The sequence below is a fragment of the Homo sapiens genome, chromosome 19 (assembly GCF_000001405.40).
Source record: "Homo sapiens chromosome 19, GRCh38.p14 Primary Assembly".
Taxonomy (NCBI): domain Eukaryota; kingdom Metazoa; phylum Chordata; class Mammalia; order Primates; family Hominidae; genus Homo; species Homo sapiens.
The window spans coordinates 36,655,083-36,675,086 of NC_000019.10; the positions used below are offsets into that span (position 1 = coordinate 36,655,083).

The window sequence follows — 20,004 nt, forward strand, 5'->3', positions numbered from 1 at the left end:
GGCTCAAGTGATCTCCCACCTCAGTCTGCTGAACATCTGGGACTACAGGCATGTACCACCATGCCTGGTGAATATTTTAATTTTTAATTTTTTGTAAAGACAGGGCTTTTGCTATGTTGCCCAGACTGGTCACAAACTCCTAAGCTCAAGTAATCCTCCCACCTGAGCCTCCCAAAGTGCTGAGATTACAGGTGTGAGCCACTGAGCCCAGCCTGAATCTTTTAAAAAACTAATAAGCAGGCTGGGCACAGTGGTGTATGCCTGTAATCCTAGCACTTTCAGAGGCTGAGGTGGGAGGATTGCTTAAGGAGGTCGAGACCAGCCTGGGCAATACAGTGAGACCTCATCTCTGCAAAAAATTAAAAAATTAGCCATGCATGGTGGCATGGGCCTGTAGTTCCAGCTACTCAGGAAACTTAGGTGAGAGGATTGCTTGAGCCAGGGAGGCAGAGGTTGCAGTGAGCTGAGTTTGCACCACTGTACTCCATCCAGCCTGAGTGACAGAGTGAAACCCTGTCTCAAAACAAACAAACAAAAATTAATAAACACTATAGATTGTGTCCTTTGATGTACAGAAGTTTTTAGGTTTGATGTAGTCCCATTTGTCTGTTTTTGCTTTTGTTGCCAGTGCTTTTGGTATTATACACAATAAATCATTGCCAAATCCAATGTCATGAAGCTTTTCTCCAATATTTTCTACTTAGAGTTTTATTGCTTTAGCTCTCACATTTAGGTCTTTGATCCATTCTGAGTTAATTTTTCTATATGGTGTAAGACAAGGGTACAACTGTATTCCTTTGCCTGTGGATAATCCAATTTTCTCCATGGAAGTGTTGGCACCCTTGTCTAAAATAATTTGACTATTTATGCAAGGGTTTATTTCTGGGCTTTCTATTCTATTCCTTTAGAATATCTTTTTTTTTTTTTTTTTTTGAGACGGAGTCTCGTTCTGTCGCCCAGGCGGGAGTGCTGTGGCGCGATCTCCGCTCACTGCAAGCTCCGCCTTCCGGGTTCACACCATTCTCCTGCCTCAGCCTCCCGAGTAGCTGGGACTACAGGCGCCCACCACTGCGCCCGGCTAATTTTTTGTATTTTTAGTAGAGACGGGGTTTCACCGTGGTCTCGATCTCCTGACCTCGTGATCTGCCCGCCTCGGCCTCCCAAAGTGCTGGGATTACAGGCGTGAGCCACCGCGCCCGGCCTAGAATATCTTTATGCCAGTACCACACTGTTTGATTACTATATCTTTGTAATATGTTTTGAAATCAGGTTTTCCCAAAGTTTGGTTTAAAATAAACTTGCCAGCCCAACATTCTGACCAGCTGGCCTGCTCTCTGCAAGAGCTTCCTGTGCTTGCTCACTCACCTGGGCACCATCTTCCTGTCTCTTCCCTCACAACCATCCAGGGCTCCTTCCCTTGCTCCAATGAGGAGATTACGGCTGGCTTAGAAACAGAAAGTCCTAGTTATAAGAAAAGAAATTGAGATGAGATGGAAATGAATGTATCCAAATACAGTGATTTAGAACTGATTAAAATAAAAATAAATCACAGATAAAAATGGTACTTGATAAGGGATACAGAGGAAATAAAGGAGAAGAGATGAAACACTCATATTCAGATGAACACAGGATCATAACAAACAAAGCAAACAAACAGGCGATAAAATAGTACTTAAATTTATGTAAGGTTTCTCTTTTTTGCTGTGAGGAAAAAAAAGAAGCTTCTTGAGATATTTATTCTTTTTTTTTTTTTTGAGATGGAGTTTTGCTCTTGTTGTCCAGGCTGGAGTGCAATGGCACAATCTTGGCTGACTGCAACCTCCACTTCACGGGTTCAAGTGACTCTCCTGCCTCAGCCTCCTAAGTAGCTGGGATTATAGGCGCACACCACTCTGCCTGGCTAATTTTTGTATTTTAGTAGAAACGGGGTTTGGCCCATATTGGCCAGGCTGGTCTCAAACTCCTGGCCTCAGGTGATCCACTTGCCTCAGCGTCCCAAAGTGCTGGGATTACAGGCATGAGCCACAGCACCCAGCCTCCTTTTTTTTTTTAATGTTAACTGTACAAAGTTCTTTAAAAATAACTTCCAAAGGCAAATCACTTAAAAGAGAGTACAGGTCAGGCGCGGTGGCTCACACCTGTAATCCCAGCATTTTGGGAGGCCAAGACGGGTGGATCACTTGAGATCAGGAATTCGAGACCAGCCTGGCCAACATGGTGAAACCCTGTCTCTACTAAAAATACAAAAATTAGCTGGGCGTGGTGGCGGGCACCTGTAATCCCAGCTACTCAGGAGGCTGAGGCAGGAGAATTGCTTGAACCTGGGAGGCAGAGGTTGCAGTGAGCCAAGATATGCCATTGCACTCTAGCCTGGGCAACAAAAGTGAAACTCTGTCTCAAAAAAAAATTAAAAAGGCCAGGTGCGGTGGCTCATGCCTGTAATCCCAGCACTTTGGGAGGCCGAAGCAGGTGGATCACCTGAGGTCGGGAGTTTGAGACCAGCCTGACCAACATGGAAAAAACACATCTCTACTAAAAATACAAAACTAGCCAGGCGTGTTGGCACATGCCTGTAATCACAGCTACTCGGGAGGCTGAGGCAGGAGAATTGCTTGAAGCTGGGAGGCAGAGGTTGTGGTGAGCCGAGATCACGCCATTGCACTCTAGCCTGGGCAATAAGAACGAAACTCCGTCTCAAAAATAAATAAATAAATAAAATAAAAAGTGAAAGATTACATTTATTATAGGAAATGGAGTGGTGCTCATTTGAGAATAGTAAATGAACCTTTATTACTCCAGCCTATCACTCTATTACCCAGGAAAGAAAAAAGCTTCACTCCTGGAACCCATGTGTCTAGTTTTAATCTTATGCTAGTACACTAGCAGATTTAGCACAGTGGAAGTGAAACAAAAGACAGAGTCTGCTTTCTTTGACAGTGTTATGCTTTAACATTGCAGATTTCCAATTCTGCCCCTTAAACATCAAGGAGGAGTTATTATAAGAAAGGACCAAAAGAACGTGTAAGGATGGGGAAAATGAAAATGTACCTCCATTTAGCTGTGCTGGTTTCTACAATACATAAAGAGAAAATTCATCCAGTTATTTGAAAGCTAGCCCTAAATTAATAGGGGGGAAAGCAGAAATTCCAAGAAGTAGATTGTGAATTGTTAGCGGAATTCTGAATTGTCAGGTTCTTAATTTTTAGATAACTTTACCAAGTGACACCAAGTTGCTATAATTCTCCAACATCACCTCCTTGTACAAATTCCTCTGCGCTGGGTTCAGGCATTCCCATTCCTCCTGAGAGACATCTATAGCCACATCTCTGAACATCACCAACTCCTAAAATGACAAATAATAGTACTATTTTTGAAATTATAAGAAATGTTTTTAAAAAGAAAAGAGAAGTGCTAAAAGAAGGTACTGCAAGGAAGGAGACAGTCTACTGAATATATAGGCTAAGCCTGGGACATGGGTCAAAGAGGAATTTAGTGTGACTGAAGCGGAGTGCCCATATGTTCTTAAACAATTCATTTTCTGCAGACACATCTTCTTGTGTAGGTGGGAAACTCCTGTTAATCAGTCATCTCAAAACTAAGAAAATAAGTAGAGGCTCCCAATTAAATTAAATAGTCAAAAACTTTTAAATCTTTCCAAAATGTCTTATTAAAATCTCTATCTTGAGAAAAAGAACTTGAAGATTTTTATTCATGATTATGACTATCATGCCATAGGCATTTTTAGTTTTCCTGCAAATTCTTTAGTACACATCTGGTGCAGACTATATTTTCCATAGATGGACACTGCTGTATCTTGCATCCCAAATATTCTTCTTCAGTGTAACCTTGACATCCCCCTTCCAATTGGCGTAAAGGTCTGTGCCCCCTTCTCTTGAACCTGAAAGGACATCTGTGACTTATTCAACCTATAGAATACGGCAGAAGTGATTATGTGACTTCTGTGGTTAGATCACAAAAACGTCTCATACTTCTGCCTTACTTTCTGGGGATGTTCCTTCTGGAAACCCAGCCACCATGTTCCTAGGAAGCCTAACAAGCTCTCCATGGGAGAGCTCATGAGGAAAGGAACCAAGCCTCCCCAAACAACAGTCAGCAACAGCTTGCAAACCATGTGAGGGAACTATCTTGAAAGTGGGTCATGTAGTTCCCAATCAGACCATTTCAGCTGATACCACATGGAACAGAGCTGAGCGATCCCTACTGAGCTCTGCTCAGATTGTGGATTTGCAAGCCCAACCATGATTGTTGTTTTAATCTACTAAATTTTGGGTTGGTTTATTATCTGGAAATAGTTATTGTAACTGTAATATGATTTTTATTGGTAGCATAACATTGGTAGCATAACATTTTTAAGAGACAGGGTCTCACTATATTTCCTTGGCTGGTCTTGAGCTCCTGGGCTCAAGCAATCCTCCCACCTTGGCCTCCCAAAGTGCTGGGATTACAGGTATGAGACACTGCACCTAGCCTCATTTAATCTTACAACAAGAGATTTAATAATTCTCTTAAACTTGAATCTCTGGAGTGAACAAAATCTCTACGGTATTTTCTAAGGTACATATTCCATTGTTTTGCAATCACACCTGAGAGGTCTTAACTGTTATCATCCACCACCTCTCCCTGTATATTTACTGTGTTCCCAAAGAATATTAATGTAGAATGATCCAGACTCTCATAGATGTGGCCCAAGTCTAACATATGCTGTTCAATCTAAAACCGGAGTTTGTAATTGGTGATCATATATTTTCTGGCAAGATCTCCAATTTTTCCATGCAAGCACTAATCCTATCTCCATCTAATTCTAAAGCCTCACACAGCAAAGTCTCTCTGCTCAGTGAGATCATCCAACACCAATTCCTATCACATCTCACTGGAAAATCCCAAATTGTGAATTTCAAAGATTTCCCACGTGTGATTTAATTAACCATTCATTCCCTGAGGACACCTCAAGTGGTGGCTTTTTTTTTCTCCCACAGCCTTCGTACCACTGTCATCCTTGTTTCTCATTGTTGGTGTCAGACAACTGTCTTTCCTTCTCTAAAATCTTTTTTTTTTTTTTTTTTTTTTAAGCAGAATATCACTGTTGCCCAAGCTGGAGTGCAGTGGCATGATCTCAGCTCACTGCAACCTCTGCCTCCTGGGTTCAAGTGATTCTCATGCCTCAGCCTCCCGAGTAGCTGGGATTACAGGTGCACACCACCGCACCCGGCTAGTTTTTGTATTTTTTGTAGGGATGGGGTTTCACCATCTTGTCCCGGCTAGTCTCAAACTCCTGACCTCAAATGATCCACCTGCCTCAGCCTCCCAAAGTGCTGGGATTACAGGCATGAGCCACTGCACCTGGGCCCCTTCTCTAAAATTTAATGTCACATTTCATCAGTCTATACCATGTATTATCCCTCTCTGTTGCAGTGATGTGTTCACATGCAGGTTTTTGCCCCTCAGGAATTTTAGCTCCTGGCTCAGTATCACTAACTCTAATACTACTAATCTTTATTTTCAGTGATTTCAAATGCTGAAAACAAAACATCTTCAAAACCTATGATTCTATACCTAGCTAAAATCCTTTAAAATGAAGGTGAAATAGTTGATTTTTTTAAAAAAAAAAAGACAAACAAAAGCTGAAAGAATTTGTCACCAGAACACCTATGCTACAAAAATGTAAAAGGAAATTCTTCAGGTGGAAAAAAATTGATACTAGATAAAATCTTCAGTCTATATAGAAGAATAAAGAGTGTTAGAAATAGTAAACATAGGGGTAAATACATAAGCTACTCTTTTCATTTAATACTTTCTTTAAAAGATAATCAACTAAAGAAAGAAATATATGCTTTAAGCAAATTTAGAAATAAAATATATGACAATAAAAAAGATGGGAAGGGGAAATAGAAGTATCCAGTTGTGTCTGGCGCAGTGGCTCACCCCAGTAAGCCACTGCAGGGAGGCAGGATTGCTTAAGGCCAGGAGTTTGAGACCAGCCTGGGTAACAAAGCGAGATCGCATCTCTACAAAAAAATTTAAAACATTAGCCAGGGGTGGTGGCACACAACTGTAGTCCTAGTTACTTGGAAGGCTGAGGCAGGAGGATCACTTGAGCCTAGGAGTTCGAGGCTGCAATAAGCTATGATGACACCACTGGAATCCAGCCTGGGAAACAGAGCATGACCCAGTCTCTTTAAAAAAAAAAAAGAGTACCCAATTGTAATATGTTTACATTATACCTGAAGTGTTCTAAAATGACTTGAATAGTGTAAAGCACATTGCAAACCTTAACCCCTAAAACAGCAAAACAAAGAGATATAGCAAATAATCCTATAGTGACGATAAAATTAAATACTAAAAAAATAAGATTAATCCAAGACGAGGTAGGAAAACAGGAAAAAAAATTTAAAAAGAACAGATGACAAGATGGTAGAGTAAAACCTAACTATATTGCTAATTACATTAAATTTAAGTGGTCAAACTACAGTATATTCCCTGATTTATTTTATAGAGCCAGCATTGCCTTGACACTAAAACTTAAAAATTAATTAAAAATTAAGATGAAATAAAGTCACTTTTACATAATAAAATCTGAGAGAATGTGTCACCAAAGACCCAAACTACAGGAAACACTAAGGGAAGATCTTCAGGCTAAAGAGAAATGATACAGGATGGAAACTCAGATCACAGGAAGGAAGGAAAAGCAACTAGACATTTTTTCCTGTTTTCCAACACATATAATTTCTTATCTTTGTAAATTCTTTCCACATTTCCAAGTATTTCTTTTTTATTTATTTATTTTTTTGAGGCGGAGTTTCGCTCTTTTGAGGCTGTAGTGCAATGGCACAATCTCGGCTCACTGCAACCTCTGCCTCCCGGGTTCAAGTGATTCTTCTGCTTCAGCCTCCTGAGTAGTTGGGATTACAAGCATGTGCCACCACGTCTGGCTAATTTTGTATTTTTAGTAGAGACGGGGTTTCTCTGTGTTGGTCAGGCTGGTATCGAACTCCCGACCTCAGGTGATCCGCCCGCTTCAGCCTCCCAAAATGCAGGGATTACAGGCATGAGCCACCGAGCCTAGCTATTTCCATGTATTTCTAATTCATATATTTTAACTCTTTTTGGTAGGAGCATTCAAAGCTATGATTTTTCCTTAGGGTCCTGCTTTTTAATTTAATTTAATTTTTTTGAGATGGAGTCCTGCTTTGTCGCCAGGCTGGAGTGCAGTGGCAGGATCTCGGCTCACTGCAATATCCTCCCCGCCGGGTTCAAGTGATTCTCCTGCCTCAGCCTCCCGAGTAGCTGGGATTACAGATGCGCACCACGACACCCAGCTAATTTTTGTATTTTTAGTAGAGATGGGGATTCACCATGTTGACCAGGATGGTCTCCATCTCCTGACCTCGTGATCCGCCCGCCTCAGCCTCCCAAAGTGCTGGGATTACAGGCATGAGCCACTGTGCCTGGCCAGGGTCCTGCTTTAACTAAATCTCATTTGTTTCTTGTTTCAATATGCAATGCTATCATTGATTACTAAAAATTCTTTACTTTTAGATTATATTTCCTCTTTGTTCCCATACTTATTAAGACATAATTTATAAACTTTTGATAAAATTAGCTTTATTTCTCTGATTTTATTATTAAATTCTAGTTGTATTTCACTATATTCAGGCAACATTATCATTTCTAATTACTGGATATTACTGTGGCCTCAGATTTTGTCATTTTTTAGTGAATGTTCCACAGCCACTTGAAAGAATGAATATTAACAATTATCAGGATACCAAATTTAATATATATATCAATAATATAGATCTGATACAGTATGTGATTTAGTACTTCTATTTCCTTATTAAATTTTGTCTACTTGGCCTGGTTTGGACTGAGAAGAGTGAATTAATGTCTCTTACTGCTGGTAAGTGTCTATTTCTTCTATCTGCTCTAAATTTTACTTTAGGAGGTAATGCTATGATATTCAATATATATTCAGAACTGTTATATCTTCATTTTGAAATTTATACTTTAAAAGTATATAATGTCTTTCTGCCATGTTTAATTCTGTGATGTGGCCTGAATCTTACTTAGTCTGTTTTCTTTATTCTGTCTTTTTTTGTAGAGACAGGGTCTTGCTATGTTGGCAAGGCTGGTCTAACTCCTGTCCTAAAGCAATTCTCCCGCCTTGGCCTCCCAAAGTGCTGGGATTATGGGCATAAGCTGCCATGCCCAGTCCTGTTTTCTTTTCATTCTATTTGCCTGGTATAGTTGTTCGCCCATCCTTTTCTTAACCTTTCTAAATCAGTGAATCACTCAGGTGTCTGGGTTTTTCTTTGTAATTCAATCTGAAAGGTCTTTTAATAGATGAGTTAAACCCCATTTGCATATGTTAATAAGGTATATATGTTTGCTCTCTGGTCTTAACTTTATTATGTAATTTTTTTTTTTTTTTTTTTTTTAGACAGAGTCTTGCCTTGTCACCCAGGCTGGAGTGCAGTGGTGTGATCATAGCTCACTGCAGCCGCAAACTCCTGGGATAAAGTGATCCTCCCACTTCAGCCTCAGCCTCTCGAGTAGCTAGGACTACAGGTGCACACAACCACAAGCAGCTGATTAACACAAATTTTTTTTGTAGAGGTGGAGTTTTATTATGTTGCCTAGACTGGTCTGGAACTCCCAGACTCCAGCGATTCTCCCACCTCAGCCTCTCAAAGTGCTAGAATTACTGGCGTGAGTCACCGTGCCTGGCTTTTATCATGTGATTATTTTGTTAATTCTGTCTTGCTCACTCTCTCTGCATATATCTGGGAAGTCTTACTATACATAAGTTATTTTCTGTCTCTCACTACCAGTTAAGCTTCAGAAGGGAAGATATGTATGTATGTGATATTTTTTTCCCCACTGATTTATTCCGTTACCTAGAAGAATGCCTGTCACATAGTAGGTACTCAATAAATATTCGTTAATCACCTCATCAAATCAAAGTTCTGACAAGAGAAACACTAATATTTTCTTCAAAACAATATTATTTGTGTTCTCTCCTTGTGTCTGTTAAAAGATTTCACGTAAGGGAGATGAAGAATCATTTATTCAACAAGTATATGAACATGAGTTGGAGATGAGAGGAGCAAAAATGAAGGCCCTGAAATTCTGGCACCGTCACTTACTCACTAGTAAGTTATTGTATAATTCCCAGGTAAGAAACTATGTCAGAATAAATAATGCAGGCCAGGCGCAGGGGCTCATGCCTGTAATCCCAGCACTTCGGGAAGCTCAGATGGGCAGATCACTTGAGGCCAGGAGTTTGAGACCAGCCTGGCCAACTTGGCAAAACCCCGTATCTACTTAGAGTACAAAAATTAGCTGGGTGTGGTGGCACGTGCCTGTTGTCCCAGCTACTTGGGAGGCTGAAGTGGGAGAATCGCCTGAACCTGGGAGGTGGAGGCTGCAGTGAGCCAAGTTCGCACCACTGCACTCTAACCTTCCCACCTGGGAGACAGCGAGGCTATGTCTCAAAAAAAAAAAAAGCAAATAGTCACATGCCCTATACAAAAAAAACAAAAACAAACAAACAAAAAATCAAGTATTGTAATTAGGAGCAAGAAAAAACCAACTTACATGGGCCATGTCTTATTTTAGAATTGAATGTATTATTTAATCCTCTTCTTCGTTCCCTCTGGAAGAAACTCAATCCAAAGAAGGTGTTGCTGGGAGAGAGGGGAGTTAAAAAAAAGACAGGAGATTATTGCCTCTAAGCTCCCAAAATGTTAATTCAGAATGACATTTTTCTTCCCCCTTCATATCTCCTATTCCCAGACCTGATACATACATACATAAATTATTAGTGGGAATTTGGACAAATCCTAGCTTTACTCAAAACCATGAGGAAACTCAGCTACAGCAGGATAGACTCAAGAAAAGCAAGGATCATGCCCTTCAGCAGAAGGGATAGTTAGGCCAGCCCATTGTCCCAATACTATGATGAAATCGAAGCCAGGATCAGGGTGCTGAGAACTGCACTGGGTAGATTTTCACTGAATTAAGAGGAAAAAGAAAAGGTAATGAACATTATGAGAAAAGATTAGGGAAACAGAAAACAGACCCAAAAGACCCAGTGTATGTGTAACAGAAATTTCAAAAATAGAGGCTGAAACAACACAGATGGAAGAGAAAAAATAAATAGAACAAAAATTTGCAGACCAAAATAAATTCTTGAGTCTTTAGTTTGAAGTACAGTGCTGTAAGAATTAAAGAAGAATCATACCTGGAAACATCCTGAAAAATATTCTTAAGTTTGTCTTTGAATACAGACAAAAGGACATAAATATCTTTTAGTAAGAAGTTGCAGAGGCCGGGCGCGGTGGCTCACGCCTGTAATCCCAACACTTTGGGAGGCAGATGCGGGCGGATCACGAGGTCAGGGGCTCAAGACCAGCCTGGCCAACATGGTGAAATCCCGTCTCTACTAAAAATACAAAAATTAGCTGGGTGTGGTGGCGGATGCCTGTAATCCCAGCTACTCGTGAGGCTGAGGCAGGAGAACTGCTTAAAACCCGAAGGCGGAGGTTGCAGTGAGCCGAGATCGCGCCACCGCACTCCAGCCACGGTGAAAGAGAGAAACTTCGTCTCAAAAAAAAAAAAAAAAAAAGGAAGTTGCAGAACAATGTGTATTGTGGCCAAATCTCAGAAAAAAAAAATCAAACACATAGGTACATAAGCATACTACATATGTGGTGTTTTTCTGAGGCTGTAATGATAAATGCGGGGTAGCAATGTGATTTTCGCTTGTGTTGTGTGTGTAAATCTACAGCTAACTCCTCAAGTAGTCAGGAAAGGATGAGAGATGGATGAATGACAGATCTCTGGAGTGGGGCGTCCTGAGCCTTAGATGTGTGCACAGGAGCGGGGTGAGGTGAATGTGCGTGTGTCTGTGTGTGAGAGACCAGAGTTGACTGAGAGGAGTGGAAGCTCTCTGCCTGATCGTGTGAGCCTGAGGATAACGTGAATGTTTTTTTGTTTTTTTTTTTTTGAGACAGTTTCGTTTCACTCTTGTTGCCCAGGTTGGAGTGCAATGGCGCGATCTCGGCTCACAGCAACCTCCGCCTCCCGGGTTCAAGCGATTCTCCTGCCTCAGCCTCCCAAGGAGCTGGAATTACAGACATGCACCACCATACCCGGCTAATTTTGTATTTTTAGTAGAGGTGGGGTTTCTCCACGTTGGCCAGGCTGGTATCGAACTCCCGACATCAGGGCATCCACCCGCTTCGGGCTCCCAAAATGCTGGGATTACAGGGGTGAGCCACCGCTCCCGGCCTGTAAATGTGCTTTTTCTTTCACGTAAATAAATGAGATTTACACAAATAGCCATTCACAATCATGGTCACAGTCACCTACAAACCCCATTTACACAAATGATCAGGCACACAATCACACTGTCACTAAAGCACACCCACGCACCAGGTCGCTGTCCCAACAGTAACACACAGCCCAAAGAGAAACCCTACTTCCTCACGCATTCAAAACACACCCACCTAAGGGCTGATCCCGCACTCAGAGGCCTAAAACTATAGACATTCCCTTCCGCGGCACTGGTGAGCCAGGATTTCTTACCTTCAGCATTCTCAGGGAAGGCTCTGGTCCAAGCTCTGATTCGGATTCCAAGCGAAGCCACACGCCCAGCTCTTCCTTCTCCACCGGCCCGGGACATCCTTACCTGCCTCTACCCGGAGACCATTCCTGCGAGGCTCCTACCGGAAGTAGCTGTGGACAGCAGTGTCCTCTGGGAAATGCAGTCCGAGGGGAGAGCGCCTGGGGTGGAGCGGGTGTGTTCCGCCGGGCTCCGGGATGCACTTGCGCAGTTTCACCCGAGGCTGGAGTGACGCCAACCTGTTAATGTTCGTTTTCGGATTCTGGACTTCGGGTTCCGCTGAGGACGGATTTCGGAATAGGCACAGTGGCTGCCCCGAACCCCTCAAGGCGGCCTCCGCGGGCTGTGGCTGAAGATAATTTTCGGCGGGCGCGGACTAACCCGGCTTCCCTTTGTGGAGTTGTGGTGAGAAAGGTGTTTTGTTGTGCGCGTGTCCGAAGGTGACTCCGGAGGAGAAGGTGGATATGAACTGACGGTGAGGGTGTAGCGCGTGAGATTTGTATGTGAAACGATTTAAAAAAAAATTTTTTTTTTGGCCGGGCGCGGTGGCTCACGCCAAGGCGGGCGGATCACCGAGACCAGCCTGACCAACATGGAGAAACCCCGTCTCTACTAAAAATACAAAATTAGCCGGGCGTGATGGCGCATGCCTGTAATCCCAGCTACTCGGGAGGCTGAGGCAGGAGAATCGCTTGAACCCGGGAGGCAGAGGTTGCGGTGAGCCGAGGTCGCGCCATTGCACTCCAGCCTGGGCGACAGAGCAACTCCTTCTCAAACAAACAAACAAAACTGTATGTCATATATTTGACTCCATTTATTTATTTATTTAGAGACAGAGTCTTCTTGCCCTGTTGCCCGGGCAAGAAAAAACAAACAACAACAACAACAAAAAACTGTACGTCATATATTTCACTCAACTTTTTTTTTTTCTTTTTTTTTTTTTGAGACGGAGTCTCGCTGTCGCCCAGGCTGGAGTGCAGTGGCGCAATCTCGGCTCACTGCAAGCTCCGCCTCCCGGGTTCACGCCATTCTCCTGCCTCAGCCTCCCGAGTAGCTGGGACTACAGGCGCCCGCCACCTCGCCCGGCTAATTTTTTGTATTTTTAGTAGAGACGGGGTTTCATCGTGTTAGCCAGGATGGTCTCGATCTCCTGACCTCGTGATTCGCCCGCCTCGGCCTCCCAAAGTGCTGGATTACAGGCGTGAGCCACCGCGCCCGGCCTCTTTTTGAGACAGGGTCTTCATGCCCTGTTGCCCAGGCTGACTGCGGTGGCGCGATCCTAGCTCACTGCAGTCTCCACCTCCTCAGCTCCTCCCGCATCCACCTCCCAAAGTGCTGGGATAGCAGGCGTGAGCCACCGGGTCAGGCCAAAACGATTTATTTTATTTTTATTTTTTTGGTAAAGACAGGGTCTCGCTATGTTGCCCAGGCTGGTGGTCTCGAACTCCTGGGCTCAAGCGATCCTCCCGTCTCAGTGGCCAAAGTATTGGATGACAGGTGTGAGCCACCGCGCTGGGTGGTGAAACGGTTTTGAGGCTTTTTGAGAATGGCTGTTCTATATGCCCGCGTGGGGCTCATGCGGCGAGCGCCGCCACTCCCGCAGTGGCCCCTGTGGGGGTGATACGTGATGTGGCTTAAATGTGAGAGGCCACCTGGACCCGTGTGATTGCCACGTTTGCAGGAGCGCAGCCACGTGCACAGGGATCTTGTGACATTCTGTGTGAGGCTTTTTGCGCTGGGTCCACCCATGATTAGAGGACTAGTGTGACTGTGGCGGCCCCTGAGAAGGGAAGAAGCTGGTTGCGACCAGGAAGGTCTGAGATGGATGAATGACAGATCTCTGGACCAGGGCGTCCTGAACCTTAGATGTATGCATAGGAGCGGTGTGAGGTGACTGTGTATGTTTGTGTGTGAGAGTCCAGAGCCGACTTAGAGGAGTGGAAGCTGGCACATGTTATCTGCCAGAAGGGACAGATCCATGGTAAGGATTTTTAACCTTGCTGAGAGACCAGTAACTCCATCACCAAGTGTAATATGAGGAAATGGTGCTTGTTTGAGAACAAGTGATTCTGCTTGTGTCTGATTCTCATTCATGTATGTGAGATGGTTTGCACTTGAAACTGTCAGTGAGAGAGAAAGTAGAGTGAAATATATGACGTACAGCTGGCCCTCCCTATCCATGGGTCTTGCATTGTGGATTCAACAAACCTTCAGTTGAAAATATCTGGGAAAAGAAGTTGATGTTTGCATCTGTACTGAACTTGTACAGGCTTTTTTTCTTGTCATTATGCCCTAAAAAATAGAATATAACAACTATGTACATAGTATTTACATGGTTATTAGGTGTTATAAGTAATCTAGAGAGGGTTTAAAGAATATGGGAGGATTTCCATAGATTATATGCAAATACCGTGTTCATTTTATATAAGGGACTTGAGCATCTGTGTATGTTGGTGGGGAGGGGTCCTGGAGGGACACTGAGGGATGACTATGTGAAAGTGGTTTGCGAATATGCTCAAGTCTCTGGATGAATTGTATGACAGTGAAGGGGTATGTGATTAGACTGTTGTGGCTTTGAGGTTGATGTGTATGTTTTAAAGGATTATGATTGAGTTGGAGATCATGTGAGATTTGGTGTGTTTAAATGTGACATGAATTAAAATCCGAATGAAAGATTGCGAAGTTATATGAATGTAGTAACTACATAAGAGAATGCAGGTATCTGGGACCCATGGATACGTTACAGTGGGGAAAATAAATAATCAGACCTTTCAGGGATTACTTTTCAGGGTAGTTTGGTGGCAGCACTTTGTATAAGGAAGGCAAATCCATATCCATAGTGTCTATTTCAGTGAGAAAAAAGCAGTCCGATGTAACCAACCTGCCACCAGAGAATGGTGTCATGTTGGGACTCAGTGTTGGTCTCTGCACAGTCACTCTAATAAAAGCCGTAGGTCCCTTTTGGAAGACTGGGAGAAAGATTAACAGTATAAATTTCTGGAAGTATACTGGTGCTCTTCCTTAAGGGGACCTGGCCTCCCCTTTGTTCAAGGGCTTCTGGGTCTCTTCACTGGCTCAAGTCTGGGTATTCATTGAGGGACACTGACTTTCTGTCTTTATGAATCAAGTTATACTTTTGTTCACTTGACCTAGAAGTCTTCCACTTACACAAATCAATTAACTCTTTAGTAGATTTCCTATCTATTTAACTTCCATCAAAGAATATCAGCCATCTTCCCAGACAGTTACCCTGTAACAGATATTTTCTTTGAAATGTTCTTTCATGGCCATTTTGCATTCTTTATCACAATAAATTATTGTTTCATTTTTATTAAATTGTTTTAAATTAGACACTGGCTCTGAACTGACCTCAATTCCAGGAGATCCAAAACATCACTGTGATCTACCAGTCAGAGTAGGGGCTTATGGCAGTTAGGTGATGAATGGAGTTTTAGCTCAGGTCTGTCTCACAATGGGCACAGCAAGTCCCAGAAGCATTCTGTGGTTGTATCCCCAATACCATACACATAATTGGACTAAATCTACTTAGTAACCGGCAGAATCCCCACATTGATTACCTGACCTGTGGACTGAGGGCTGTTATGGTGGGAGAGGCCAGGTGGAAGCGACTAAAACTGTCTCCACCTAGAAAAATAGTAATTTTTTTTACTATTTTTGTAAATAGTAAAAATTTACTATTTACAAAATAATAGTAATGGATTCCCACCCCATCACCATTCAACTTGCCTATTTGGCCCTGCAGAAGACAAATGGGTCTTGAAGAATGACACTGGATTATCATAAGCTTAACCAGGTGGTGACTCCAGTTGTAGCTGCTGTACCAAATGTGGTTTTGTTGCTTAAGGATATTAACACATCCTCTGCTACCTGATGTGTAGCTACTGAATTGGCAAATGCTTTTTTCTCCATCCTTGTTATTTAAAACCACCATAAATAGCTTGCTTTCAATTGGTAAGGCCAGTAATACGCTTTCACTGTGCTGCCTCAGGAGTATATCAGCTCTCCAGACACATATCGTAAGTTAGTTCACAGGGATCTCGATTGCCTTTTCCTTCCACGAGATACTGCACTGGGCCGGGCGTGGTGGCTCACACCTGTAATCCCAGCACTTTGGGAGGCCAAGGCATGTGGATCATCTGAGGTCAGCAGTTCCAGACCAGCCTGGCCAACATGGCAAAACCCCGTCTCTACTAAAAATACAAAAATTAGCTGAACATGGTGGCATGCACCTGTAATCCCAGCTACTCGGGAGGCTGAGGCAGGAGAATTGCTTGAACCCAGGAGGCAGAGGTTGCAGTGAGCTGAGATCGCACCACTGCACTCCAGCCTGGGCGACAGAGCAAGACTCCGTCTCAAAACAAACAAACAAACAAATAAACAAAAGATACTGCACTGATCCATTACATTGATGACATTACACTGATTCAACCTAGTGAACAAGAAGTAGCAAGTACTCTAGATTTATTGTTAAGACATTGCATGTCAGAGGATGGAAATAAACCCAACAAGAAATCAGGGGCCTTCTACCTCACTGAAATTCCCAGAGGTCGGGTGGTGTGGAGCATGGTGAGATATCCCTTCTAAGATGAAGTATAAATTGTTCCATCTGGCTCCTCCTACAGTCAAAAAGGAGGCACAATGCAAAGGGGGTCTCTTCGGATTTTGGAAGCAACGCATTCCTCACTTGGATGTGTTATTCTGCTGGCCATTTACCAAGTGATCCAAAAAACTGTTAGTTTACAGCGGGGCCCAGAACAAAGGAAAACTCCCCAACAGGACCAGGCTGCTGTGCAAGCTGATGTGCCACTTGGGCCACATGATCCAACAAATCTAATGGTGCCTCAAGTGTCAGTAGCAGAGAGGGATGCCGTTTGGAGCCTTTGGCAGGGCCCAGCAGAGGAATCACAGTGCAGGCCCTGAGGATTTTGGAGCAAAGCCCTATCTTCCTTTTTAGAAAACGACTCTTCAGAGGCAGCTTTTGGCCTCCTACTGGACCTTAGTAGAGACTGAACATTTAATCATGGGCCACGAAGTTACCATGCAACCTGCACTACCCATCAGGAAATGGGTGTTACCTGACCCACCAAGTCATTAAATTGAGTGTACACAGCAGTACTCCATCATAAAATTTAAGTGGTATAAATGTGATCAGGCCTAAGCAGGCCCTGAAGGCACACATGTGAAGAAGTGGCCCAAAAGCCCATCGTCCCCCCTCTTGCTACAATACCTTTCTCTCCCAGCCTGCACTCGTGGCCTCATGGGGAGTTCCCTATGATCAGTTGATAGAGGTAGAGAAGACTCAGGCCTGGTTTACAGATGGTTCTGCATGATAGACAGATACCACCTGGACAGCGCTACAGTCCTGTTCTGGGACATCCCCAAAGAACAGTGGTGAAGGGAAATCCTCCCAGTGATTGGAACTCTGAGCACCGCACCTGGTTGTTCATTTTTCCTAGAAGGAGAAATAGCCAGATGTGACATTATATACCAACTCATGCACTGTAGCCAATGGTCTGGCTGGATGGTCAGGAACTTGGAAGGAACATTATTTAAAAACTGGTGACAAGGAATTCTAGGGAAGAGATATGGACCTCGCTGAACAGGTAAAAAATATAAAGATATTTGTGCCCTATGTGAATACTTACCAAAGGGTAACCTTAGCAGAGGATGTTTCATAATCGGGTGTATAGGATGACCCATTCTGTGGATATCAGTCAGCCTCTTTACCAAGCTACCCTTATCATCACCCAATTGGCTCATGAACAAAGTGGTCATGATGGCAGTGATGAAAGTTATGCATGGGCTCAGCAACATGGACTTCTGCTCACCAAAGCCAAACTGGCTACAGCTACTGCTGAGTGCCCAGTCTGCTGGCAGCCAAGACCAACATTGGCTCCCCAATATGGCACCATTCCCTGGTGGCAGGCTGATACATTGGATTGCTTCCATCATGGAAGGGGTAGTATTTTTTTCTTACTGGAATACACACTTTAGATACAAATTTGCCTTCCTGACACAAAATGCTTCTGCCAAAACTACCATCCAGACCCTTAACGAATGAAGGTTTGGGTCACCCCACCAGTTAAAGAACCACAATCAGCTGAGGAGCTCGCTTGCTGAGGGAAAAAGGAATACATAATGGATAATGGAAGAAGGTAGGTATGAATACCAGCTATAACCACGTGAGCAGTTACAGAAACAAAGACTAATTGTCATGAATGTGTCTTCTTTATTTTATAATGAATGTGTATACAACACAGCTTTGTTTTCATCCCTTTCATATCTCTTTATCATGTACAGTATGATATACTGACTTTATATTAGAGTATTTAAATATTGTTAACTTTATATCAGTTTTTAAGTTATGGGATATCAGGGAGAAGCATTAACATCATCCAGACTTTGCATCCTCTTCTGGGGAAGTGTTAGTTATTTTTGGTTTTATGCAGGATAGTTGTATCATGTTAAGCAGAAGTATAACCTTGTTACTGCCTTTATTCAGATATGAAGTATGGTTTTAGGAGATGCTTATGGGTACCAAGTCGACAAGGGTGGACTTATGATGGTTAATTTTATGTGTCAACTTGACTGGGCCATGATGCCCAGATATTTGGTCAAACATTATTCTGGATGTTTCTGTGAAAGGTGTTTTTTTGGATGAGAGTAACACTTAAATCAGTGGACTCTGAATAAAGCAGATTACGCTCCACACAATGGATGAGCCTCATTCAATCAGCTAAAGTTCTTAATAGTACAAAGGCTAATGTCTGAGCAAGAGGGAATTGTGTTAGCAGACTGCCTTTAGACTTCGAATCACAACTGTTTTCTGGGTCTTCAGCCTGCTGGCCTGCCTTGCAGATTTTGGACGTACCAAGGCTCCACAATTGCATGAGCCAGTTCCTTAAAATAAATCTTTCTGTGTGCATGCATACACACAGACACAGACACAGACACACACACACACACACACCCTGTTTGTTCTGTTTCTCTAGAGAACCTTAATATACTATCCTAAGTATTTTACATGTATAGTGTCATTTAACTCCCCTCAGAACCCTGAGGGAGTTATTGATACCTTTCCCGGTAAACTGATGATGCAGGTGAGGCATCAAGAGCTTAAATAACTTGTAAAATGTCACAGAGTTCCTAAGAGAAGGAACTGGAATTTGAATTTCAAAGTCCTCAGTCTTTAACTATTAGATTACCATTTTCTAACTTGACACCTTCTATTCTATATCCCACCCGCTTCACAAAGCCATTCCTGATGAGTGCCAACTAATTTGGAATGAAAATCATTAGGATTATGGGTTCTATTATATGATATTTAACACACTGTTTATTCTCAAACATTTTTATTTACTAATTATTATCAGGAATTCTTCAATGGCATTCTTGTAATACTATTTAGTTCATTTTTATAATTACTTCCTAAGAGACAAATTGTCCTAGAAGTGGGGGGTTTCTGAGTAAGACACTGGCATGCCTGGCAACATGCAAGACCTTGTGCTTCAATACTTGGAAGAAGCACAAATTACTAAGATATAATTGCTGCTTTTGTATTGCTTATAATTCAACAGGGGAAATAAAAGTAAGTCAAAGGTAGAGCATGACAAAGACTTCTAGAGAAGTACAGGTGATAACCCTGGGAGTTCCCAAGAATTCATAGGAGCTCTGGGTGTGAATGAATGTCCTCTCGTCATGTGTATGCCTTACAGATTAGAGTCTGTTGATGTTGGGTCTAAAGGGTACTAATGGAGCAAGGCTGTCCTCTTACTGATAGCAGGGCATTATGGCTAATATTTCGGAAGTGAAATAAATCCTTCTGTCAAGAAGGCATAGAAAACAAAGCAGCAAGTCCAAGGTAAGGTTTAAACCTCCTAGCTCTTCTTCCCTGGGCAGAATACCCACAGTCATAGTTGGGTCCAAATTAATATTTTTTTTAACATAAGAGAAATAATTCATCACATAGTATTTAGAATATGCTTAGCTGTAAATCTAAAGACTTCTTAAAGCTTTTTTTTTTGGAGACAGAGTCTCACTCTGTTGCCCAGGCTGGAGTGCAGTGGCATGATCTCTGCTCACTGCAACTTCTTCCTCCTGGGCTCAAGCGATTCTCGTGCCCCAGCCACCCAAGTAACTGGGATTACAGGCATGCACCAACATGCCTGGCTAATTTTTGTATTTTTAGTAGAGATGGGTTTCACCATGTTGGCCAGGCTAGTCTCAAACTCCTGGCCTCAAGTGATCAGTCCACCTCAGCCTCCCAAAGTGGAGGGATTATAGGCGTGAGCCACTGCAGCCGGCCTAAAAGCTTTTTTAATCTACTTTTTGAAAATCTT

The 20,004-nt window shown here is 42.8% G+C and overlaps 2 protein-coding genes across 11 annotated transcripts in view, besides 1 other annotated feature; one reads left to right on the forward strand and one right to left on the reverse strand.

The window, feature by feature from the left end:
- The window catches only part of ZNF461 (zinc finger protein 461), a 30,220-nt gene extending 18,465 nt beyond the window's left edge, over window positions 1-11,755 (reverse strand). For 2 of the 8 annotated variants that reach the window (NM_001322826.2, NM_001322823.2), the window contains exons 1-4: window positions 11,608-11,755; window positions 9,616-9,704; window positions 3,254-3,343; window positions 1,366-1,461 (exon numbers count right to left, since the gene is read on the reverse strand). In NM_001322826.2, the coding sequence (NP_001309755.1) occupies window positions 1,366-1,461; window positions 3,254-3,296 (139 nt within the window). In that variant the 5' untranslated portion in view covers window positions 3,297-3,343; window positions 9,616-9,704; window positions 11,608-11,755. Of the gene's footprint in view, window positions 1-1,365; window positions 1,462-2,570; window positions 2,669-3,216; window positions 3,365-9,615; window positions 9,705-11,607 lie in introns of all 8 variants that reach the window. The other 6 variants (NM_001297623.3, NM_153257.5, NM_001322827.2 and 3 more) reach the window with 4 other exon arrangements.
- ZNF567 (zinc finger protein 567) overlaps window positions 11,852-20,004 on the forward strand; it is a 60,573-nt gene continuing 52,420 nt past the window's right edge. For all 3 annotated transcript variants that reach the window (NM_001387762.1, NM_001387761.1, NM_001387760.1), the window contains exon 1: window positions 11,852-12,049. The gene's annotated coding sequence lies outside the window, so the exon portion shown is untranslated. The remainder of the gene's footprint in view (window positions 12,050-20,004) is intronic.
- Window positions 11,932-12,061: an enhancer, noted in NCBI's record as "active region_14530". NCBI's record gives its function as "activates an Ori minimal core promoter by ATAC-STARR-seq in GM12878 lymphoblastoid cells {active_cell/tissue: GM12878}" and the evidence as "EXISTENCE:reporter gene assay evidence [ECO:0000049][PMID:35858748]".